General features: G+C 42.6%; 1 protein-coding gene across 4 annotated transcripts in view; it reads right to left on the reverse strand.

Annotated features, from left to right (window-relative positions):
• The window catches only part of C8B (complement C8 beta chain), a 36,809-nt gene that overhangs the window by 6,940 nt on the left and 4,037 nt on the right, over window positions 1-25,832 (reverse strand). For 2 of the 4 annotated variants that reach the window (NM_000066.4, NM_001278543.2), the window contains 8 exons: window positions 23,874-24,030; window positions 20,623-20,764; window positions 18,540-18,681; window positions 15,902-16,034; window positions 13,409-13,606; window positions 9,675-9,915; window positions 7,550-7,678; window positions 4,703-4,866 (listed from right to left, as the gene is read on the reverse strand). In NM_000066.4, the coding sequence (NP_000057.3) occupies window positions 4,703-4,866; window positions 7,550-7,678; window positions 9,675-9,915; window positions 13,409-13,606; window positions 15,902-16,034; window positions 18,540-18,681; window positions 20,623-20,764; window positions 23,874-24,030 (1,306 nt within the window). Of the gene's footprint in view, window positions 1-4,702; window positions 4,867-7,549; window positions 7,679-9,674; window positions 9,916-13,408; window positions 13,607-15,901; window positions 16,035-18,539; window positions 18,682-20,622; window positions 20,765-23,382; window positions 23,512-23,873; window positions 24,031-25,832 lie in introns of those variants that run through there. The other 2 variants (NM_001278544.2, XM_047429957.1) reach the window with 2 other exon arrangements.

Here is a 25,832-nt window from a genome sequence, read left to right on the forward strand (position 1 = left end):
ATTATTTCTTTAGTACATTCTTGCATTGGGTGTTGTTGGATGAAAAGCTATAAGCATTTTTAATGTTCTGAATATATCTGCTTAAATTCTGTTCCTAAATAATTGTATCAAATTATATTCCCATTCTATTTGACAAAAATATCCATCTCATCACAGTCAATGTCATTGAGTATTGTAGACTTTCAATCACTGTCCCTTTAATAGGTAGAATATAATATTGCAGTTACTTTAATTTTTATTTTTCATGACTACAGAAGTTAAACATTTTGCATCTTTATAAACCAACTGAGAAGTGTTCATCTCCTTTGAGATGTTTCTTTCTTCAAAACTATCATTCCTTACATATTAAGGATCTCATTTGTGGTAAATTTTTTTTTTTTTTTTTTTGGTGTGTTATCAGCCATTTAGTTATATTCATGGGTTTTCTTGGTTTTTTCTTTTCCTTTTTTCTTTTCTTTTTTTTTTTGAGACAGAGTCTTGCTCTGTCACCCAGGCTGGAGTGCAATGGCATGATCTCAGCTCACTGCAACCTCCACCTCCTGGGTTCAAGCGATTCTCCTGCCTCAGCCTCCCGAGTAGCTGGATTACAGGCGCATGCCACCACACCCAGCCAATTTTTCTATTTTTAGTAGAGATGGTTTTCACCATGTTGGCCAGGTTGGTCTTGAACTCCTGACCTCATGTCATCCACCCACCTTGGCCTCTCACAGTGCTGGGATTACAGGTGTGAGCCACCACACCTGCTGGGTTTTCCTTTTTGAAATTCAGAATTTATTTTTGCAGGTGAGCTTTGTCAATCCAAATCCAACATTGTCTTTCCAGGCATATGCTGCCACAGCATTTATATTTTAAGCACTCCCTGGACCAGAGTAATTTGCTTTGAGAAAATCTTTGATACCTTGCTTTGAGAAAGGTATGAGGGTCATTATTACAGTTTATTAAATATTTCAGCTTCTTTTCCTTCTGGGCACATGGTAAGGCTGACATTCTTGCTCTCTTTGAAGGCAGGTTTGCAATGTGACTTGTTTTGACCAGTGACAGGTGAGAAGAGAGTGTCACTTCAAGGTTGAGGCTTTCCAAACAGAGTGAGGTGACTTGTCCCACTCTTTTATTATCACTGCTGTGGTGATCTTGGGAGCACACGACAAGACGCAGCCCCCATCAGCTGGATCTGTGAGCAACTACATTGAGCAAATCCCCCTTGCCAACACACTTTGGACATATGTGATTGAGAAATAAGCTTTTGTGGTATCAAGCTACTGAAATGTGGAGGTTGTTTCTCTGCATCATGACCTATGCTATCCTGATCTCTGTGTGGGCACCATTCATTACTGTATTTTTTCCCTTCTGCCCTGGGCAATGCCAATAATTCATACAATGGCTTCTCTACCAGCATAGGACCCAGCCAACAACCTAGCTATCCTGACTAGCATAGAAATGTACATGGATGACAGACTTTGTGACTAGGATTACCAGTTAAAGACAGGCCATTCAGTTATATTTTAATATGAGATTAAAAAACAAATAATTTTTTTTAGTTTAAGTATATCCCATGCAATATTTCGGAGATACTTACACTAAAAAATTATTCCTTATTTACCTGAAATTCAAATTTAATTGAACTTCCTGTGTTTTCATTTGCAAAATCTAGCAACTTTTTATGTGACTTCTTTACTATCTAAAATCTCTTTGGAATTCTTCACCCATTAATGACCATTTCACTAGGTCACAAGTTTTTCCTTCAAGACTCCTCAGTTGTTGCTCCATTTTCTTCAAGCATTTCACACTGCAAAGAATTCTAGGGCCAGTTTGACTTTTATTCCTGTAGGATATATTTGTTCCTAAAAGTAAACATTTTCACCAGGATGTGTTTCAGCTTTGTTTTGTTTTCAGTACTTTGGCTTAGTTTTCAATGAGCTGTTCATTCTGCATTATCAGCTCAGGGAAGATTGTCTTCTTATATTTTTGATTAATGTGTTTTCACATTTAATTTTGTCTCTTTCTTAGGAAGAGGTCTCTGTTTTAAGCTTTCTACTCCTGTACTCTCTGTCTATCGTATTTCTTTTCTGCCATTGTTTTAATCTCCCTGTCTCTTGCGTCTGCATTTTAAGAACATGTTTATAACACCTTCCACATCACTGTCTCAATTTTCTGCAATGTCAATTCTGTCGTTTATAGCTTCCAATGTGGGCTTTAATTCTGTTATTGTATGTTTGGCTTCCTGTATTCAGCCACTTGCCTTTTCATCTGATTAGTGTCTAAACACCTCAGCTTTTATTTCATAAATTCTTCATTTCCTTGAATTGTATGATAATCACAGAAAATGTATTCTAAAATCTTCTTCTATTTTTCTGTTTTTTTAGACATCGTTATTTCCTATAGCATGAACATAATTTCAATCTTTTGTGTTCAAGATCTCTTTATATGTTCATTGCTGTCTCTTAAGTCTTCTTTGAACAAAGAGCTACCTATGTCTAAAGTTTACCGCTAAACATTAAGAATGGGTTCCTCTGTGGTCTCCTTCCCTGCCTACCTGCTTCTATAGAAATCATGTTTTAGGACTTGATCTTGAAGACTGGTTTACATAATTAAGCCTTGGTTGAAACTATTGCATCTAGAAATTGCTTGTCTACTGGGCTCTGCTGTCTTGAAATCAACTGCCACTCCAGCTACCTGGTAAGTTGGCTTTGCGGAGAAGAATTATTCTGACATAATGTGAAGCCATCTGCAGTTCCCTCTTGCCAGAAAAAAAAAATGCATGTGAGAGTGGGATGCCCAGAGTGTATATTTCCAACTCAGGGTGGGAAGGTACAGATGTGTGTGAAAGCCGTCAACACTCTTGCCTCCTCTACTCCTGCAACACTCCCAAAACATCTCTGATTCTCTGACACATCCCACATCACATCACATGCTTGGCATCTGACATTCTCAGTGCCCAGGTAGGCACATTCAACTGATCTGAGTGACCAGGGAATTCATTTGGTTCTCAGTTTTTTAAAAAAGATTCAGGTAAGATATCTCAGGAAAAAGAGATAAAGGCTAGGGATCTATTTTCCCTTGAACTCTGTTCTCTCCCATGACCAGCTGTGATGCCAACCAATGTCACCATGGCATCGGCCAAGCCCAGATTTCTCAGGAGCCCCTGCAGCTCAGCTGATTTTATCCTTTTCATGTTTGCCAGCAACTGTACCCTAAGTGCCACTGTTGAGTAAGTGCAAAGGAGAGGTTTTGAATGGCAGCCTTCTTGTTCTGCAGAAACTGTGTATTTGTCATGCAAATAAAGAAATCACCAGGCTGGGGACTGCAGAGTCTCTCATCAGAGCACCAGTCCCTCAACCCTCCACCTTGACTGCAAGGTGGGATCTCCAGTGAGTAGGTACTGGCCCATAATGACTGTACAGACATTAGCAAGAAGAGCATGGTGTTAAGACGTGCTATGGGCCCTGTGCAGAAGTCCCCACAGGCAAGGACCTACCATTGCTGACGTGTATGACAGTCCTGGTCTAACAAACATCTTTTTAGTTTAACATTGTAAAACTCCTCTAGTTTGGGTGACAAGTGGTTAGGATCATTATGTTTTATTCATCAAACCCACAGGAAAGTCTAGAGGGGAGGGAAGAAGTCAAAGTCTTTTGTTTGAACCGAATAGACTCTTGAGCAGCCAAAGATGGATACAACTTCTCTAGCCCTTGATTTCTGTCAACCACAATATGGAGATAAGAATAATTACTTTGCAGACCAGTGTGGGGATTACATAAAATAACATTTCTAGATGTTAGATGAAGAAATATTTCTAAAGAGGGTCGTGAATATATTAGGTGCTCAAGACATGTTAGTTGTTGTGATGTCTTGTCCTGTAAGATAGTTACGTGTGTGTGTGTGTGTGTATCTTACTGTTCCTCGTAGACTGTATGTTTTATCCTTGCATTTTCCTCTATCTTCCCTTAGTACCTTACTTCCTGTAGCATAGCAGGAATTTAGCAACTATTTGTTGGTTGAATGCATAATGTTTAAATGAATAAATAACTAAATGAGTGATTCTCTAATGAAATAAAAGGAATATTAATTTAATTGATTAAATTTAATTGATTAAATTTTAAATAAATTAATATTTCTTTTATTTCACTAGAGAGGCTAGAGGCCAGGCACAGTGGCTCACACCTATAATCCCAGCACTTTGGGAGGCAAAAGTGGGAGGATCACTTGAGGTCAGTTCAAGACCAACCTGGGCAACATAGCAAGACCCCATTTCTAAAAAAAAAAAAAAAATTTAATTAGCCAGGTGTGGTGTCATGCACCTATAACCCTGGCTACTTAGGAGGTTGAGGCAGGAGGATCACTTGAGCCCAGGAGTTGGAGGCTGCAATCAGCCAAGATCATGCCACTGAACCCTAACCTGGGTAACAGAGCAAGACCCTGTCTCTAGAAAAGAAGAAGAAGGAGTAAGCTAGAATTAGAAGCTGATTGTTAGTTTCCTTTAGCAACTTGGGGCCCAAGTGAGAGGGAGTCAAGGGTCTCTAGGTAGTACTGAGCAGTGTGTTATAATTTATTTATTTCAAATATATTTTCTACTATCGTATATGTGTCCCAAAATTAGGGCCTGGGTCTTAGTGATCTCTGCATTTTATACCTTGGCTCATGGTAGGTCCTCAGAAGCTATTTTCTGGGTGGAGGAAAGGATGGGTAGAGCAGCGTTGTGTACCTTAACTTTGATGATGGCTGGGTTGTACTGCACAGCGTCTCCCCACTCCTGCATCAGGTCCGCCGTCGGCAGCTCCTGGTATGCCAGGGTGGTGATGTGCTCACTTGCCCCTCCTCGTACCAGGACCACCAAGTCCTCCACCATGGTGTCCCTCTTGTTTCTGTCTGGAATGGACACAGAGCTAGCAGGTCACAGAAGATATCCCTTTGCCCCCTAGAATTTGCTGCAACCCAACCAACAATTTGGGTACACCATATTCACTGAACTTGTCTGAGAGATGTGGGTGGACCAGACACTTCCTTGTCCACAGGGCAGTCATGGTGCATGGGGCAAAGGGAAACTCACCCAGCCATAGGCTATACAAATTGAGGGCAGGACAAGAAAAAGACATTTATCTTGAGCAGCTGTAAGTGCTAGTTTCTGAGTAAGTTTATGGAAGATAGATGATAGCTAGATTAGATAGATAAATAAATAGATAATAGGTAGGTAGATAGGTAGATAATAGACTGGTAAATAGGTAGGTAGATAGGAGAGTAGATAGGAAGATAGATGATAGGTAAGTAGGTAGATAGGTGATAGGAGATAGATAATAGATTGATAGAAAGATAGACAGACAGATAAATAGATAGATAATAGTAGATAATAGTAGATAGATAGATACATAGATAGATAGATAGATAGATAGATAGATAGATAGATAGATAATAGACAGACAGACACACAGACAGGTAGATGGATAGATAGAGAGAGAGATAGACAGGCTATGATATTTTCTTTTACCAGATAGCAATTTTAGGAGCCCAGCATTATTAGCTCTACTTCACAAATTATGAAACACGTACCTGGAATTGTTAAGTGACTTGCCAAGGCCCACACAGCTAGTAGCTGATAAAGATAAATTTTAAACAAGGTCTGCCTGGTTTCATAGCCACTGTTCCTTGGTCAAATAACTTTCCTCTCTCCAAACTGGCTCCTGCAGGTAAAGTGTAGTGGAGCTCACCTGGTGGAAACTGAGTTCATCCTCTCCTCCACTCACCCTACACACCTTGACCAGGCATGAGTCCATCTCTGACTTTGTCTAGCCTTGTGGTTTGGGACAAATCATTTATACAGTATGAGATTTCTTTTTTGTTCTCATCTATAAAGTGGATACTCTGCATCCGTGTAAAGAATAAATGGTATATTAACAACTAATAATTATTGATTATTTATGTGTCAGTCAGTAATCTAAGTGCTGTACATGTATGAATGCATTTGATCTTCACTACAAAATAGTAGCTATATAATCCTCACTGTGCAGATAAGAAATCTGGGAGAGATGAAGGTACTTACCAGACGGCCCTGTCCAGGCCTTAAATTGTCTCACTTCTTTGTGTGAGATGACAATTGTGGGAAAATTTATAAAGGCTGTGCTAAGTAAGCATGCAGCTGACACTTACTAAACAGTGGCCACTATAAAGCAATTATTATTTTGACTTACGGAGTTGCCCAGAAAGCCCTCAATCATATCAGTGAGTTATTTCCATTCTAATGTGTCTATGTCCCCAGTGCCAAAAGAACTGGTGTAAAACAGCCCAGCGTGGTGGCTCATGCCTCTAATCCCAGCACTTTGGGAGGCCGAGGTGAGTGGATCACTTGAGGTCAGGAGTTTGGGACCAGCCTGGCCAACAACATGGCGAAACCCTGTCTCTACTAAAAATACAAATATTAGCCAGGCGTGGTGGCACATGCCTGTAGTCCCAGCTTTTGGGAGGCTGAGGCAGAAGAATCCCTTGAACCCGGGAGGCGGAGGTTGCAGTGAGCTGAGGTCATACCACTGCACTCCAGCCTGGGTGACAGAGTGAGACTCCATCTCAAAAAAAAGAGAACTGGTATAAAACAGCTCCTCAAGTCTGAGCCTGCAACACCTGAGCAGCATTAAAAAGTAGGGGGGCGTCTCTGCCAGGCATGGTGGTTCATGCCTGTAATTCCAGCACTTTGAGGGTACCGAGGCTTGTAGATGGCTTGAGCCCAAGAGTTTGAGACCAGCTGGGCAACATGGCAAAACCCTGTCTCTGTAAAAAATAAAATAAAATAAAATAAATAATAATAATAATAATTAGCCGAGCATGGTGGCATGCACCGGTAGTCCCAGCTACTCAGGAGGCTGAGGTGAGAGGATTGCCTGAGCCCCGAAGGTGGAGATTGCAGTGAGCCGAGATCACGCCAGAGTAAGACTCTGTCTCAAAAAAATAAAAATAAAAAATAAAAAATAAATAAAAAAAAGCTGGGGGAGGGGAGGAGTCCTCATCTACTGCCAACAGGAGTATAAATTGGTACAGCCATTTTAGAAAACAGCTTAGCACTATCTAGTCAAATAGAAAAAGCACACCCTCTAAAACCCAGCAATTCCAGTCCTGTGTGTATTCTCTGGAAAGACACTTGTACGTGCGTACCAGATAACTATGTAAGATGTTCAGAGCAGCATCAGTTATAATTGCTTGAAAGAGGAGATAATCCAAGTGTTCATCAACAGTAGAATGGACAAAGAAAGTGGTATATTCAACAAAATAGTATGCAGCGATAGAAGTGAACTAACTATAGTTATACACAAAAACATTATGTTGAATGGAAAACACAGGACTGGAAGGATTATATTCCATTCATATAAAGTTCAAAAATAAGCAACACTAAGTCATGTTAGTTAGCGATATGTTAGATGGTAAAACTATAAAAAACAGAAGGACATAGTTGGCCTAGAAGTTGGGATAGTATTTGTCTCAAAAAGGGAGGGAGGTGTTGTAATCACCAGAGGCACTAGGAGGATAAACATTATAAGTGTGGAAGTCACAAGCCCCTGTCACTCACCTTTTATTTCATTCAGAATACCTCTGCATTTGCCTACAGACACACCCAGACTGACGTAGACCTCTTCAATGGCACCACCAATTTTAAAATCATTTTTGGCACAGGCATGGACGTTGTTAAGAGTATAATCTGAAGAAAACAAGGAAAAAGGTCCATGACGTAAAAGGTAGTTCACTCTGTCCCTTTTCCTATGATCGAGTCCAGAGGCCTAGCCCTGTTGAATGTCACAAGGACTCGGGTTCAAATAAATAGGTCACCAGCCTGATAACAAGAAATGTAGGCAGCAAATGGCACCAGGGCAGAGACCTCGTAGAGCTCAGGTCCAGCTTCCCTTTCAGCCTCCCCGCAACGCTCTCTGAGGATTCTTGCTGACTTTGAAAGAGGGGAAGTGCTCAAAGTCATTTTCTAAAAATTTGATCTGCTTATTGATTCTCTAGGGATAGATCCAGTGAGTACAGTGACTGTTACAATCTGCCTGCCCTCCCTGACCCACCCTTCTCCAATCTTTGATAAAGTAGAAAAAGTGTGTTAATTAATTAGTTGAGAAAATGCATATAAAAAGTAAGGCATAGTATCTGGCAAAGAAAAGGGGCAAATTTCCCTGATTTCTTCTTCATTTTTGGACTATTTCCTACTTCTTCCTCCCTAATTCTCCCTGAGGCATCCTCCTCCTCTTGTCTTGCTGAAATTCCAGACGTGACTTATAAGCACCTCTCTAAGCACTCTGAGGCCAGTTCAGGGAGAAAAGAGCAACTTTGACCACCAGGGCTGTCTAGAAATGTTGGTATAGATCAGTTTTTCCCAAAGTGCATTTCTTGAAACATGAATCCCATGAGATGGTAGCAGATGTTATGAGAAAAGGAACTTCTGTGGTCAAGAAAGTGTGACAAATGTTGCATCAAAATAGGTGGAGAGGTCATTTTATTGGAGTACATTCGTGAAACTTTGAGAGTGGAATCTATTATGTGTTTTCCTAACTTATTTAATGATTAAGCCCTTTTATGTTTGAGGAACAGTGGAAAGTACTTCTGAGACCATTTTTATGCAGGAAGGTACCTCTGATTTTGACAAGACTGAGGCCACACTGTAAAAATTTACATGGTGTACCACGTGTCCTCTTGCAAGTACATGGACTGGTAATCAAGCCCTGGCTCCACCACTGCAATCTGTGTGACCTACAGCCATTCACTTAACCCAACAAGTGCCATGTCATAGGAAAGGATATTGGGTTGGAAAGCAGCAGACTTGTAGTTGACTGGAATTGGAAAGAGCTGGGATATCTCTATGAAGATGAATTACAGGGGAGGGATGGGGGTGGAATATTACTTTGGAGACCACAGTGATAATCTGAGACCTTGCTATGTAAAGTATGGTCTATTGGCCAGCAGCATCAGGGTCACTCCAAAGCTTGTTAGAAATGCACTCTTAGGTCTCACTCCAAACCTACTGAATCAGAATCTACCTCTTCCAAGATTCATACTTGATTCACATCCACATTAAATTTTGAATGTGAAGGTCTGGTCATGGGGTGAGCCTATGGTGGTAATAGGAAAAATAGAAAATATAATTTGGAGGTAGAGCTGATGGATTTGAAGAAAAGAAAAAACAGCAGATTTGAAGAAAAGAAAAATAATCAAGGTGGACTGCTAGTTTTATGGCTTGAGCCACTGGTTCGTTGGTGGAACCGTTTCTGAGATGTAGATGGCTATAGAATAAAACATATTGGAGAAAGAAAGTCAAAAGTTCTCTTTGGGCACATGTTCAGCTGGTGAGATTTGCTACACATTCACATGCAGACATCAAAGAAACATTTCAACATAAACTCTCGGGTGCAGGAAGAGATCCAGGATGGATCCAGGAAGAGATCCAGGAATTATCTGCATGCTGAAGGTATTTAGAACCATGGGATTGGATACAATTGCATAGAGAGAAAAGCTGTAGAAAAGAGAATGGCCTAGGGAGCTAGGCAGAGGAGGACTGACATTGTCAATCAAAAAGAAGAGGAAGAGGAATCTGCAAATGACACTGTGAAGGTGTAGCCAGGAAGGTAGAAAGAAAACTACAAGTTCAACTTATGACTCTTCCCCCAGCTTTTAGGAAAGCCATGGTCCCTTGGGCAGTATACCTCCTCTCTCCATGGCCTCTTTGTTCATAACGAGGGTGTATTCATAAATGCCCCCAAGCACAGCCTCTGTGATGTAGTGGGTCCCAAAATCACGGAAGAGATCTCTGTATTCCCCGTAGCTGTACTCCAGGGGCAGCCGCTTAACTCTCTGAAGGAACTCGTAATGGAGCATGAGGCTTCTGGGTTTCAGCTTGTAATGTGCTACTTCAAGGTCAGAGCGTGCATGCAGAAATACGCTTTTCTAAATGAAATACCAACATGGGAAAACCAGACCTTTAAAGTTAGGAATCTGGAACGAGAAGATGAACTTTACAAATACCATCCGATGTTCTTGGCCTGGGGTCATCACTCTTATGATTCCTTTAGGATACTTGAGGGAAGACAGCCTCTTTGACAAGCTTTCAGTGCTCATAAATATTCTGACATCCTGTTCAGCTTGGAAGAGCTTGCTCTTAACTCACCTCCTTACTGTAGAGAATAAGGACTGGGAAGGGTAACAAAAGCAGGCATGGCAGGGAGCAGCTGGAGGGCATGGGACCTCTCTGATGGGACATGGGGTTTGCTAACCTGCAAAAGTGCCCGCTTTGCTGATGCCTGTAAACTCTGGAAAAAAAGCCGTGCAAGAAAGAGTAAAAGTGGTGCTTTAGGAAAACCAGCTATGACAGCGTATGGCAGGAGTCAGCAAAATACAGCCTCATACCAAACTCAGTACCTGTACCTGTAAATAAAGTTTTATTGGAACACAACTGCCTCCATTACTTACATACGGTTTACAACTGGTGTCACACTCCAATGGCAGTGTTGAATAGTTGCAACAGAGACCTTGCAGTCTCACAAAGCCTAAAATATTTACTATCTGGACCTTTACAGAAAGTTTGGTGACTCTCCATGTATGGAATAGACTGAAAGCTGGTGATGCCAGATGAAGTATAAACATCTAGAAAGTGTTAGTACAACCCTAGGTGAGCATTCCCTATAGTGCTGTATAGGCAGAGAAAAAGAGGAAGGTGGCAAACGCCTGTGAGATATGTTCGGCCTAATCCTAAATCCTTCAGTTCTACAAAGCCATGCCAGCTGTGCTGGTGCCTATTGCCCTGGGGCCTCATTTTGTCTCCTAGCTTGCTCTCGCCCCATTCTAGGCCTGCCTCAGTGACCTATGACCCTCTTCCTTCTCCCTTACCCTTCCTAAATAAGCAGTCACTAGGTACTCTGTTCATTATTTTTCTGAATATTTTAGGTTGCATCTCATTTTGTTTGCATTATTATAAAAGCCTCCTCCCTAATCTCCTTCCTTTCTTTTGCCTCCTTCAATGCCCCAGTCAGAGTTGACATCCTAAAATTCAGATTGTATTATGACCATGCTCCTCTTGGCTTAAAGCAAAACCTTGCATGGCTTGCTGTTGTCTTCAGAATAAAATCAGCTCCCCTACTCTGAGTATAAGATCATCACAATTTGTCCTCCAGTAGCCTCTCTGGCTTCAGCTTCTACACTCCTGAAGTTTTCTTCTCCACACTTTACTACTTTCTACCAACCACGTACGTCAGCATTCATCCAACTTTTCACTGTTCCCCAAGCCTGCTATTCTCTTTCATATTATTTTGCACATGCTGTTCCTTCTCCCTGAAATGTTATTTTCTCCCTTTTCTGCCCGACATATACCTACTTACCTTTTAAATTTCTACTTTGCCATTGCCTCCAATCTGATAACAACCTGAAGGTCCCAGATGCACCCTGGCACTCCCTTTTCTAGGATTGCATTGTACTTGCTTGCATTTCCTTTATAGCATATGCCATGTTGTATTACAACTGATATAATTAAGAAAAATATGGCCGGGAGTGGTGGCTCACACCTGTAATCCCAGCACTTTGGGAGGCCAAGGCAGGCAGATCATGAGGTCAGTAGATCAAGATCATCCTGGTTAACATGGTGAAACCCCGTCTCTACTAAAAATACAAAAAATTAGCTGAGCATGGTAGCATGTGCCTGTAGTCCCAGCTGCTTGGGAGGCTGAGGCAGGAGAATCGCTTGAACCCGGGAGGTGGAGGTTGAAGTGAGCCGAGATCATGCCACTGCACTCCAGCCTGGGCAACAGAGCAAGACTCTGTCTCAAAAACAAAACAAAACAAAACAAAACAAACAAACAAACAAAAAGAATAATATATTGGCTTTCATGTTTGCTGCTCCTACTACACTGCACTGTGAACACGAAGGCCAGAATATTATCCTAGAGGCTACAGATCCCTAGTCTATCTCTAGGATAGTGCCTGGCCCAGTGCTAACATCCTATAACTGGCAATTTGAATCAGGGAGCTGGAAGGGAGAGAAGGAGAGAAGGAAATGGGGAGGGAGTAAGCAATAGGAAGCAGATGATATGATCAGATTAGTATCATAGAAATATTTCTTCATGTGTTTGAAGGGGAAAGCTAGGAGACAAACTATTTAGTTGGGCACAGTAAGAGATGAAAGAACATGGATTAAGAGGTAATAGGAGTTAGTGTAAACAAATATTGAATAGTAATACTGAAGGATTTGGTAATCAACAGATGTGGACATGAAGCAGAAGTGAGAGCCAGATATGATTCTGGCTCAGTTCTTAGCCTGGAAAAGTAGAGGGGAATATGCCATTAACATCCATTGAAAATTTAGGAAGAAGACATTGCCTTGGAGTGTCAGCACAATGCCCAGGTGAGATGCTCAGAAGAGTGGATAGGGAAGGTCTGAAGTTTAACCAAGAGGTTAGAAGCAGTGATGAAGGCTCATAGCTTGTCCCTGTAAAAGAGGAAGTGAGTCGAAGAGGGCAGGCACCCAGGGGAGATTGGAGAGTACATTGAGAAGAGGGCCATGAATTAAATAAAGGACAGATGGGAATATTAGACCCAGGAAGGAAGCTGATAAGGAGCAGAAAGAAAGCAGGAGAAACAGGAGAGCAATGGTTTGGTCATCTCCACTGAGCACCCTAAGAAGTCAGAGAAGAGGTCTTGGGTAACATTCCAGAGAGGAATTTCAGCTGGATGTCTGGGATAAAAGTCAAATTCCTGTGGGCTAAAAAGTCTCCAGAGAAGTTCTGGTCTTCAAAGCTACATCTTAAGCTTATTGAAACCCTAAGGGAAAAGTTTATTAGAAAATGAAAGAAAATAATTAGAGAAGGTTATCTCTGCCTGGTCTCTCTAAAAAGTAAGTTAGCTATTTTTTTTTTTTGAGAAGATTTCAAGACAACAGAAAGATAATTGGTTGTTAGAACTAGTTGTAACGTGGAATATAGACACATTTGGGGCATGTCATTTCCAAAGGATCCATATGCTATATCTGGAATGTCCCCTCCAAAACTCATGTTGAAATTTAATTGCCATTGTAACAGTTTTGAAAGGAGGCACCTTTATGAGGTTATTATGTCATGAGGGTTCTGCCCTCATGAATAGATTAATGCTGTTGTTTCAGGAGAGGGTTAGTTATCGTAGGAGTGGGCTCCTGATAAAAGAATGAAGTTCAGCCCCCTTTTTTCTGTCTCCTGCATGTACTTCCTCACCATGTGATGCCTTCTACCATGTTATGATGCAGCAAGAAGGCCCTCACTATATGTGGCACCTTGATCTTGGACTTCCCAGCCTCCAGAACTGTGAGCCAAGTAAATGTCTTTTCTTTATAAATCATCCATTCTGTGGTGTTTTGTTACAGCAGCAGAAAATGGAGTAAGACAACATATACGTTTAAAAGCAACAAAGACATACTTACAGTATGAGAGAATCGTTTGGTTCTCCTAATATAGTGTTTGCCTCGATCACTTTGACTACTGATGCCAAGTTCAAATATTCCAGGTATTTTAAAACCAAAACTGAAACCAGACTTGCTTGCCATTTTCTCTGTGACATTGCGTTCAAAATCTGAGTATGATTCATACTCTTTTAATATGAATTCGTATTTGCCTTGGGTCTAAAGAAGAAAAAAGAAAGGGTTTTTTATTTCATTTGACTCAAATCAGTTCAATACCAGTGAGCAGACAGCCACTCTACTCCTACCATGTGCTGGATACTGAACTAGATGCTCTGGATACAGAGAAATCAGGGCCGATTTGTGTCCCCACCTCAGGGCTCTTGGTTCAGTAGCAGAGACAGACCTGATCAATACCTTGGGTGAAAACTTAGAGGTTGGTTTTTGATTTGTATTTCAACTGGCAAAAATGCAGGGGAACATTCTGGGCTGTGGGCTCAGCTTAAGCAAAAGCATGGAGGTGGGAAAGGGGAGGGTGTGCCCCAGGAACTGCAAGGATAGCAGTGCAGTTCATTGAGAAGTTGAAACAGCGAGGAGAAAAAGGGGATGTTGTGAGAGGATATTCTGACATCAAAATAGGCTTTTGAATTACTTCTCCTGAAATCTGGGAGTAATTCAAGTATGACCTAGCAGAGGGAGTAGATCAAGCCTCAGGAAGATGATGTGGGACAACCTGGTGGTTGGATTGGAAGGGAAAAATTTAGAGTCAGAGAGACAAACCCATGAGGAGGCTGTAAGAGCAGTGCAGGTGATGGTTGATGAGGGTCTGGTCTAAGGCAGTGGCTGGAGGATCAAGTGACAAGGGCAGGAAAGTGCCTTAGAGAGAACTTAGGAGAGCCATTTGCTCTAAAACCAGTGTTCATGGCACTGTGTGTAGGGGAACTGCCAAGGGTACTGCCCTGGGGGCCCTGGAGTGACCAGTCCTGAGTCATCTCCCTGCCCACAGCTCCCATCAGCTTCAGCTTCTGCCCATTCAGCCTGCAACTCCCAGACAAGGGTGCAACAGCTCAGCCGCTACAAGGGGAAGGAGGAGCAGTTCGGACATGGTCTACAGCATGGCCACTGAGATGCGCTGTGTCTCTGCTCTTGTCTAGTCGGATGACTTTGGACAATTGCCTTGACCTCTCCATGCCTCAGTTTCTTCATGTGTAAAATGGAGGAGATAATGGTCCCTTTCATCAGGCTTGTTCTGAGGATTGGGCTTATACTGGTAAGTCATAGCACGGCACCTGGCACAGCGCTCAAAGAATGTTGGTATGGAGAGCGGAGAGTTTACCATGTATGTCCTGCCTGAGTTAGGATCCACTTGCACCTGGATGGTAATGGTTGCTGTGAAATCCTCCCTTGAAATTAGAGGTTTTGAGGATGGCACTGGACACCCCAATGGAGAGTGTGTTTGGCGCTAAGCCAAATTTGTTCTTTCTTGGCTAAAAAGTGTGTTGGGGAGGAAGGGAAGGAGGAGTAAGGAGGAGCTAGCCTTCAAAATGGTGCAATAAATACATTTTAAAGACAGGATCTTGCTTTGTCACCAAGCTGGAGTGCAGTGGTACGACCTTGACTCACTGTAGCCTCAACCTCCTGGGCTCAAGTGATCCTCCCGCCTCAGCCTCCCAAGTGGTTGGGACTATAGACACGCACCACCACACCCGGCTAGAAAAAAGGGAGCAATTTTGGAAGTGGAAATTACCGTCAAGATCTTCTAGTCTCGTCCCCCAGTTTCACAGATGAGAAAACTGAGGCCCAGAGTGGAAAAGGAACTTAACCTAAGGTAAAATTGGGACCTGTGGCAGAGCCAGTCCTGGAACCCAGTGTGTTCCCATCGGATCTCAAGTGTGTGTGTCCTATGGGCTATTCTATACCCCACTGTCTGTGAGATGTTTCTAAGTTTGTACATCAATCATAATAGGGGCTTACATTGGTAGAGCATTTCATAAAATGCTTAGAGTAATGCCTGCTTTTAATAGGCAGGGATTTGATAAGAATGCAATAACAACAGCAAAAAGAGTTAACATTTTCTGTGGACTCACCATTAAGCCAGGTGCTGTGCTAAATACTTACACACATTATCTCACTAATCCTCTCCCTGCAGGGTAGGACCTCTATAACTCCCAATTTAAAGATAGGAAAACAGAGGCTCATAGCCTTTGGATTATATGGATGGTAAGTGGCAGAGCCACCAAGTCAGTGTGACTCCAAATCCTAAGCTTTATTTCTATCTTCAAGGTAGCTTTTGATATTATGGTTTCTATTATTACTGCTCTACAACCGCCCTCCTGTTGCTATATACAGCATGTCATCTTCACCACAATGTCTGGAGGAAGGAACTGCCCATTTTCACATATGAAGAAACTGAAGCTCAAAGAGAAAAGGGCTAGCAGGCTGTCAGGCCGGACCATGGACCCTGCTAACTGGGTGCTCAGCTGGGGCTCCCTCCACTGCTACCTGGCTGTCTCTTACCTGTGGCGTGTAGCTTTCCACATTGTAGGGCTTCCTAAACCTCGTGTTCAGGATGTAATGCGGGGAGCATCCACCTGCATAATACCTGTGATCAAGAACTGGGCCCTCAAAACTGTTTGTGAACAAATTTATCCTGTGAGGAAGAGACAGAGATGGCGAAGAGGTTAAAGTTTGCGGTTGCTTAATCTTGACTGTCAGACCCTACTGAACGAAAACAAAAACTCCTTGGCACAGCCTTCAAGGCCCTTGATACCTGGTCCAAGCCAGCTTTCCAGCTTCATTTATGGCCGCCCTTAACCACAGCCACGTGCCCTAGTCCCCAGCCATGTGAAGAGGCTTGCTCTTGCTCCAGTCTACTCAGCTCCTTCTGTGGTAGGTACTGTTCCCTGCGCCCAGAATGCCCTTCCACCCAGTCACTGTTTTATCTCTGACTTGTCTGTCAAGATTGAGCTCTGTTGCCACTATGGTGAGAGGTTCCACTGACACTTGTGGTGCTTGAAGCCCGCAGCCCAGCTGGGTTAGGGACCCTCATAACACCCTGTGCTCGCACCGTTGTGCATTTATTGTCCTGTATTACTACAGTTGCCTTGCGAGAGTTGGGTAGCATAATAGATAAGTGCGTGGACTTTGGAGCCAGACGTCTGAGATCCAATCTCTGTTCTGCCCCTTACTGCCCAGGTGACCTTGGGCAAGCCAATTAAACCTTGGGTGGCCACTTACTACCTGTGTGCCTCAGTCTGCTCATATGCAAATAGGGACCATGAAAATACTACCTCATGGGGATGTTGTGAGGATCACATGTATCATGTTTATGAAGTCCTTAAAACACTACTTGGTCCGCGATAAATGTGCTATTTATGTATTTGTCACCCTCACTATACTGTGTGCTGTTTGAAGTGGCGGTTTTCTTAATTTCCGTACAACCCTCATCACAACGCATTTACAATATTATTCACAATAATTACTGTTTACTGAGGGTGTAACTGGTGACAAACACAGCAGTGGGTAGCTACGTGCATCATCTCATTAGTGTCCCTGCAGCTCTGTGCAATAGATGTTATCTCCATTTTAGAGAGGAAAAGAATCCAGCCCCTCCTTAGACATTATTTGTAACTGCCTCCTAAGGCAAGCTTCCATTCTTGACCATCTCTAACTACTGAAATTTCTGTTTTTATTAAGAGTCTCTGTCTCCTATCAGCTTCCACTTATTGGCCTTGGTTCTGTTCCTCACCAGAATTGTCTGGGGTCTCTTTCCCATGACATATTCCATGTATCAAAATAATGTATACATATTTATTTTCTTTAACAAATATAATGTGGTGCTGACTTTGTGGAGGCATCATCCTAATCAATTTACACACAATGGCTCATTTAATCCTTATGAGGATTAATCATTAGGAGGTTAGTATTACTATTATCCCCATTTTGCAGATGAGAAACATGAGGGTAACTGACTAACCCAGAGTCTCCCTGCCGGGAACAATGGGTGGACTGGACTTTGAAATCTGACAGTGGAGCAAGAACAGAGTCTGTATTCTTCCCACCACACGAGCTGCCCAGCACCTCGTATGTTAGTCACATTCACTTGTTCAATCTTCACAGCACTTTGAAAGAAGCATGTTATTAACTTCCTCCTGCAGATGATAAAGCTAAAGTTCCACGTAGATAAGTGCCTTGCCCGAGGTGCCCTGGCCAGTGAGCCACTCCTTCAGTTCCCTCCTACAGGGTCCTGTCAGACCCTACTGCTGGCTTTGAATGTCTGCTATCCCACACTCTAGCTGGGTGACCCTGGAACTCACTCAACTTTCCCGGGCCTCAGTTTCCTTATCTGCAAGGTGGGAATTATAATAACTAGCTTATAAGGCAATCCTGAGAGAAGCCTCCCATGTGAAGAGTCTCTAGTGACAACTTTAAAAATTGAGATTTGATGGGTTTTTTTAGAAAGAAGGTAAATCCCATTCGGGGTCAGTGTTCCCCTCCCCAGGCTGTGTCTCATATGATGATTCCTAAAGCATATGAGGGGAAGGTCTCCCTCTTCCACCTGCAGGCTGAGAAGATGCAAAATATGGCAGGAAAGTAAGGTGCATGCCAGGCCAGTGTGGCCCCTTCTGAACTTGCTCCTCTGTCCTCGCTAGAGGACAGGACCAACTCAGAGATCCCCAAAAGCCCTGGAAATCCATCCCTTCACTGTCTAAATAGAGACCTCTCTTCTTGGAGGGACCAATGCTGGGAGATAGGGGCAGACCTGGATAAAACCTGCCTGCCAAGTTGTCAATAGGATTCAAGAATGTAAGGCTTAGAAAGCACCTAACATGGTCACACTGCAGGTGTTAAAATAAAGGCTCCCCTCCCTACCCCAGCCCTTGCATAGCAGCCTGTGTGGTTTCCACACATGCACAGCTCTGTCCCAGTGTTCCAAACCAGCCCTCCTGATGCCTATATCTGTCCATGGGACGTGTTCCTGGAGCTGCTTGGAACTGCCCTCAGAGAGCAACCGGAAGTGTTACTTACAATACAGTCTTTTCTCAGAAAGGTGAGTGAGGACCTCTGTTTATATCAGTTCTCTCATTCTCTATCCGCCAGAATTCCATTTAATGCTGTGCCTTCCCATCTACGCCACAGAAAAATGGTCACTTACCCACTGGCCAGACTGCCAATTCCCCAGTATTGGTCCATTTCATGCTGACATTTTTTATAAATCCTTCTACAGTTTGCTTCATCTGACTGGTCTCCACAGTCATTGTCCCCATTGCAAAGAAGTCTGCGGTTTACACACCTTCCTAGAATGGAGAAAGAGTATTACCCACAGCCACATGGTTGGCAAGAAAGGAACTAACATAGTATAAGCACCTACCAAGTGCCAGACCTTTTGTCAGGCCTTGCATGCTGCCCTGTTTTAATTAGTCATCCTGTATCCAGATAGATTGGTTATGGCACTAACAGTTTATTCCTCTATTGCCACCTCCCTCAGCAGAAGAGGCCAGTGTTGTATTCCAGAAAGCAGCAGGACAGTTTGGACTCTCTCTCCCTGGGGCTGGAAAGAGGGGGTGGGATGGGTGTGTCCTGTAAATTGTGTGAGCTGGGCCACTTTTCTCTTGTTACTTAACCTCTCTGCCTCAATTTACTCACCTGTAAAATAGGAAAGTAAAATACCTATCCCATAAGGTTGTTCGAAGTTTAAATGAATAAATAAAACAGTACTGACTCCTAGGAAGTGCTGTGTAAGTGTTATCAGTACTATTCGTGTTTTTGAGGGCCAAGTGCACATTAACTAGTAAATATTTGCAGTGGGATTGAAACCTTTAACTGTCTAATCACAAATTCTTCCCACTAAACCACACTGCCTTCAACAACATAGTCATTTGGATTATGAAAAATTATTTGCATCCCTTTTGCTTCCTTTAAACTTTTTCCTCCTGATTGATTTCCTTTCTTATTAGTATATCGTTGGGAGATAAAGCCCATAAGACAGGTAGTCCTATTTCCTCAGATATGTCTGGTCATTTTAAACCAATGTTCTTGGAGTGTTAAAAGCAGAAAAATAGCAATCTGGCCTTCAAATGTTTCTTACCAGACATTTAAACTAAAGCCTGTCCAAATAACCATCATGGCTTTCATCAGAATCATGGAACACAGGCCATAATGAGTCCACGGATACACTGTAAAAAGTCTCTCAGATTTATTGGATAGAATTTTGCATTTGCAATAACCCCTAGAAATTGCTCTAAGAATCCCTAACTCTTTCTTGAAAGATCCCCATGCACAGTCCACATGGGTACAGTAAATGTAGAGAATTGCAACTTCCATCTAGAAAATGTGGGTCAAAATATTCTCATTTTTGCTGGAGATGGAGAAATAGAGAACCATCTGTTTGCTTGGATTCTCTGAATGAATTGAAAAGTTGTGTTTATTTAGTTTTGCAGCAGGTGATTATTCATTTCTGTACTCCTTTCTTCCTACCTTCCTTCCTTCCTTCTGTCAGTCTATCCATCTGTCCTTTTTTCTTTTCTTCCTTTTAATAAACAATAATTTTTACCGGGTATATCATGGATTAAGGATCATCTTGGACTTAGTGATGCAGAAATGTAAATGACAGGAAATATCTTTCTAAAGATTTATCAGTGATAAATGATGCTAACTGCCCTATGTAACCGTTCTAGGTTTTGTCATATTCTACTTAACCCCAGACCTCTGAGAGAGCTAAGGGAGCCAACAGTCTACAAAGAGCTCTCATAGCTATGATGTCACTTGATGCTTATAACAGACCTGTAAGGTATTCACATCACCCCTAATTTTCAGTTGAGGGAGCCAAAATGCAGAAAGGTTAAGTGACTTCTGCTAGTCACAAAGTCAAAATAAGGCCTGACCCAACATTTCTGACTCCAGCACACATACTTTTTGTGTCTTTAATGTCAATGAATGTAATCTGAATTCTCAAATTTCCAATAGAAACTTTTCCACTTACCTGCTATATGAAGAAGTAACCTCTTCAAGTCTTGATTTTTTAAGGTATATAATGAGGATAATAATAACACCTACATTATAAGGTGATTTTTATAAAATAATGCATGTGAAAGGAGGTCAGAGATTTTAGGACAAGGAGGCCTCCTGAGCTGCCCCATGACCCTGATCTTGAGCACTGGACATGGCCTGTCCCTTGGTCATCAAGAACCATTACCTCATTTCAGGCTTTCCCCTCTTACTCCTACATTGATTTATACCTGTCTGTGCACACACAAAGCCTTCACATCGCACTTGACTTCCGCATGGTCTGTTGGTAACACAGTCTTCGACTTCCTTGTCAGAGAAGTTGCACGGTTCCCCATGGAACTGAGAGGGCTGGAGCAAGTAGGCATACCTGTACTGTAGCAGAGAGGAGCCAGGTGAACCAAGGGTAAAGCCTTAGATCTCAGGAGCTGAGGGATACTCTGTGTAAATGGGTCTTGAGCCAGGATTTGGGCTTCACAAGAGCACTGAAATGTCTGATCATCATTCCCCCAGCCCCTTGTGCTCCCCCCATTATATATACTTAAGGAGCTATGTTGTGATTTGCTGTTTGCTGGATGGTTTCTTCAATTAGTCTGTGAGCTCTCTGAGGGCAGGGACCTTGGCTTTGATCTCTGCTTCTGCAGTGATCAGTCAAGATTTGCTGAATGTGGGAAAGTCAGCCCATGCTGACTCCATGGGCTCTGGAGTCAAAGGTTAGTAGATGGACTCATGTAGCCAGTTCAATAACACAAAATAAATTATCTCTCAGCTTAATTACTCCACTGGGTTGATTCAAGTATTCCCCTTTATTCCTGAAGGCATCAGTATATTATAAATGCAAAAACATGGGCTTTGGAGCTACAACTGATTCTGATACTTTATAGTTGTGTGATATTGGGCAAATTACTTAATATTTATGAATCTCAATTTACCCATCTGTAAAATAGGGATCACGAATTATCTAAATGTTCAGTTATGAAGTTTAAATTATATAATCTCATTATGTTGTTGGATGTATAGTAGGCATTCAATTTCTTGGACTTGTTTTTCTTTATTATTGCTTTTTAGCAGTCAATATTGCTATATCTCTACCATCTTATGCATTTATTCCAAAATGATTGATTGAGCCACCCAGTGTTGAAAAGGTAGATGTTATTGTTGTTTCCTTGTTTGGTCAGTTTTATTGGTAATTGTATCCCCTAGCCTGTTCTCAAGGAGGTCACAGATGCTGGGGTTGGGCCCCAGGCAGTTGCAGCACAGTGCAATGAGTGCCATGACAGGGGAGGCAGAGTGCTTTGCACACTCATCGGGAGTCCCTCATGCAAACTTAGGAGAAGCCCAAGTGGAAGGCTTTGGAAGAACTAAGTGACACCTCAGCTGAAACTTGATGGCTGAGTAGGAATGTCTGACAGGTGTGAAGAACTGACGAGAGTGGGGCTCAGAAGAGTGATATGGGTGGAGGAAATTCCTGTACCAAAGCTGAGAGGACTAGAGAAGGTTTCCCGTGTTCCAGAAAACATTAAAAAGATTCATTGTGGCTGGGGAGAAGAGCACAAGTAGGAGAGTGGCCAGAGTGGGAGGGAGACATAGACAAGAGCAGATAACACAGGGGCCTCCAGGCCTTAGGAAAGTGATTACAGGATTTTATCCTGCGGCAATGAGAAACTGCTGCAGAGGAAGAAAGTGATCAGATTTGGGTGATTTCCAAAAGTTAGTTGCAGTCAAGATTTTAGTAAACAAAAGAACACAGGAGGCAAGCCAGGATAGCAGCCCCTGCTTTGCAGGATGACATTAATAAGGCATAGTTATTACCTTTATGGCATCTATACTTTGGCCTTGGAAATCCAAAAAAAGAAATGTAGATAACCATTCACCTATGCCCTTTGTACTTGCAAAGGGTCATTCTTTCTAGAAGGCAGAGCCTGTCAGGACAGGGACAAGGCTTGCAGAGAACACTGTGAAAAAAAAAAGACTAAAAAGCTCCAGGCTCCAAAGGCAAAGTGGGTTCCAGGAGTGTGTAAGTGGTGCAGGAAATATATCACCCAATCTGACTTGAGAGGCTTTGCTGAGCCCCCAGCCAGTGACCCTGCAGACAGGGATGATAACCAGCTGAGGGAACGTCTGCGGCAGACTCTGAGAGAGGAGCTCTGGCTGCCAGGCTGACTCATGCTGAGTCTTCCTAGTTTATGGTGCAGATGAAGCAATTATCCAGATAATTGGATCAATGCTGATACCTTCAGCAATAAAACCTACTTTGGGAACTGAATGATCCACCTTGGCTCTCTCCATTGATCCAATTAACTGGGTGATTGTCCTGGGCTTACTTCCACAGCCTCTTTAGAGTCTAAGCCCATGGCTGGTTTGGTTTCCCAAGGATCTGGGGAAATAGCAACCATTCTCTTTTCTCTGGCATATCTATTGTTCTCAGAAGTAGGATCCTGGGTCAGCCCTCCTATGACCAAGGAGGCTGAATGACAGATATTGCGGAAATTGAGTGTGTTCACTGGAAGAACCCTATACAAGGAATACTGGACAGTAGCCTGAGTTTGAGGTCTGCATTTACTACTAGGTGAACTCAAGAAGCCATTTATCTGCTCTGATTTCCTGTTTATCTGTCTGTTTAACAGAAAGTGTAACAACAACATTGCCTTCCCTGTAGAGATATCAGAAAACAGAACAAGATCAAACACCACATATTTATGAAGAACCTATTCTGTGCCAGAGATTGGTCTACACATTGAAAATGCAGAATTAAATCAGCCTTCACAAGTTCACTGTGTATTGAAGGTGAAAAATAAGTGGCATGATGTGATAAATGTGAGGATACAAGGGTAATAAGGAGCTATCGAAGCTCATAAAAGATTGCTTTATCCAACTGGAGGTAGGGCTGAGGAGGAGTCAAAAAGCTTTCTCAAAAGAGGCAGCTCCTGAGTAGGAGTTTCAAATTGTGAGTAGGTGTTCACCAGTGAAGGAAGTGGGAAATGTCATCCTACCTGAGAAAGCAGCATGAAGAAACGCCCAGAGAGAGTGAAGGCCAGAGTCATACAAGTGTCCATTGTGCTGGAAATGTAGGCTAGATTCGGTCACAGGGATCCTCGAAAACCATGATCCTGGACTTGATCCTAAGGGTCATGGGTAGACTGTGAATGGTTTCCAAGTGGGCAAAGACAACTCAGACATACACTATGATTGCTTCCCCTGTTTCATGATGAAAGATTGATTGAAAGAACAGGTTCAAGGCAGAGAGTCTAATTAGGAAGCTAGTAGAGTGAGAAAGGCTGGGTGTGCTTGGAAAACACTGGAGAACCAAAGGAAAGAACTTATTGCTGCTTGGAAGCACAGAAGGAAAGGATGCATTTATTAAGTTAGCCGACATTTATTGAGGGCCAACTATGTGCCAGGCACTGTTAGCAATGGCTCAGCCGATCTTGCTGGGGACAAAGGCTCCTGGAAGCTTAGAGCTGTCCCAGGCCTGGTTGCTTACCCTTTTCTTCTGACAGGGGTCACATGTGGTCCAAGAGGACCAACTAGACAGCTCACAATCAATGGGCATCAGGGTAACATCCACACTCCGCATCTGTCTGCTCTTAGCAAAGCTCTTGTTGACTGCATTTGACCCAAAGGAATGTGGCCTTTCACCTCTAAAAGTCATTATGAGAGAAGAGAGTCACGTATCAGAAGGGAATTAAGTATACATCCAACCATCTATTTGTACATTCAATAAATATATATTTGCTCACTTGTGCAAGGCTATTAGTTTATCATTCCAGGATAACCTATCCTGGAATTAATTAATTAATCCAACAAATATTTAATCCAACAATGAAATATTAATTAATTCCATTCCTTAATTAATTAATTAATTTAGGTTAATTAATCCAACAAATATTTATTGAACATGTAGTAAGCACCTAACATTATGGCTAGAGAAACATATCTGTGAGAAACATGCCTCACGCCCTAGCTCTATGGGACTTTATCCAGAGGGCAGGGATTTCCAGCATGCAGGCCCCATGGCTGGAGCTGTGCAGGCCCAGTGGGAGTCAGGAGAGCCTGGTAGTAGGGAAACAAGGAAGAGGCTGGCAGCAGCAGTCCCACTGAGTGGTATAAGCCTGAATCATGGCAATGGCCAGGGCGAGAGGATGGGGAGAACCAGCATATGAGATGCTTCTCATGTGGAATGGATAGAAAGTGATGGTGGATGGTGGAGGTGGGGTGCTAAAGGAAGGCCTTTTAAGTGGATGCTGTTTTCCCATTTGAGTGTGTGGGCGGTGGGAAACACAGCAGAAAATAAATCTTGATGGGGAAGACTTGAGTTTCGGGTGGGGCATGCTGAGTTCCAGGTGCCATGAAACACCTACGGAGACTCATTTAGTAAATAGTTCCTATATGGGCTTGGATCTCAGGATGAGAGATTTGTGCTAGGTACAGATCTGATCATGGAAAGCTATGGAAGAGGAGGAGATGGTTCTTGAGAGGAGAAGTGAGTGAAGGATACTTATTCTTGGAAACCTCAGCACCACCAGCAGAGATAAGGCAATGCTTTTGGTTCATTTCCTGGAGCACATTGGGTTATGAGTGGATGAATGAGGATGCTATTTAATTTGCCTGGGCCTTCAGTTTCTTCCTCTGTAATATGAAGTGTGTATGATGATTCTTATTTTTTTCTTACAATTGAAAGGGTGTATTACACTGTAAGATTCTTTGTAATTTGTGTTCCTTTCCAGGGCACAAAAAGAGATGGGAAGACAAAAGGAATGGAGGTTTGCTGAGCACCTATGACAGACATGTCAAGGCTGTGCTCAATGGCCCAGCATCACCCACGCTATCTTCTTCTATTTTCACAGCAATGCTGGAAGACAGCTGTGGAGCACTGCCACCTGGGCAGATGAGGGAAGCGGCCCAGAGAGACAGGGACACATCCACGGTCATGCAGCTGGTATGCAGTGGTGTTACGATCTGAGCCGAGGTCTCTTAGGCTCTAGAGTATATACGGGTTTTGTCCGTTGCCCCATGCTGCCTGGAAGGAAACAGGGCCAGCACTGACTCCAATAATCTCTTCCAACATCTATGTAAGGCCTCTTTCTTTCCATATCCAGGATTGAGTCATTAGGGAGAAGAGCATCACGTAGTTTTCACCATCTCATATACACAGGATGTCACTCCCGACAAGGTCATTAACAATATGTTCTCAATTGGCAAAAGTCCTAAAAAGAGGATAATATTAACTACGGTGAAATCTGTGTCCATGACCGCCACAGAGACCAGCAAAAATCAATTGCCTAGTAAAGCTGGATCTTTAATGAAAGGTCAAAGACTACTGGAAACCACAGGTGGATACTTTAAAACGGTTACTTGAGGCAGGATGCTACACACCAGTGGGGGGCTTCAGAGTGTGTTCTTATCTACTAATTTGCCCAGGTTTGACAAAACAATATTGTCT

The sequence above is a fragment of the Homo sapiens genome, chromosome 1 (assembly GCF_000001405.40).
Source record: "Homo sapiens chromosome 1, GRCh38.p14 Primary Assembly".
Lineage (NCBI taxonomy): Eukaryota > Metazoa > Chordata > Mammalia > Primates > Hominidae > Homo > Homo sapiens.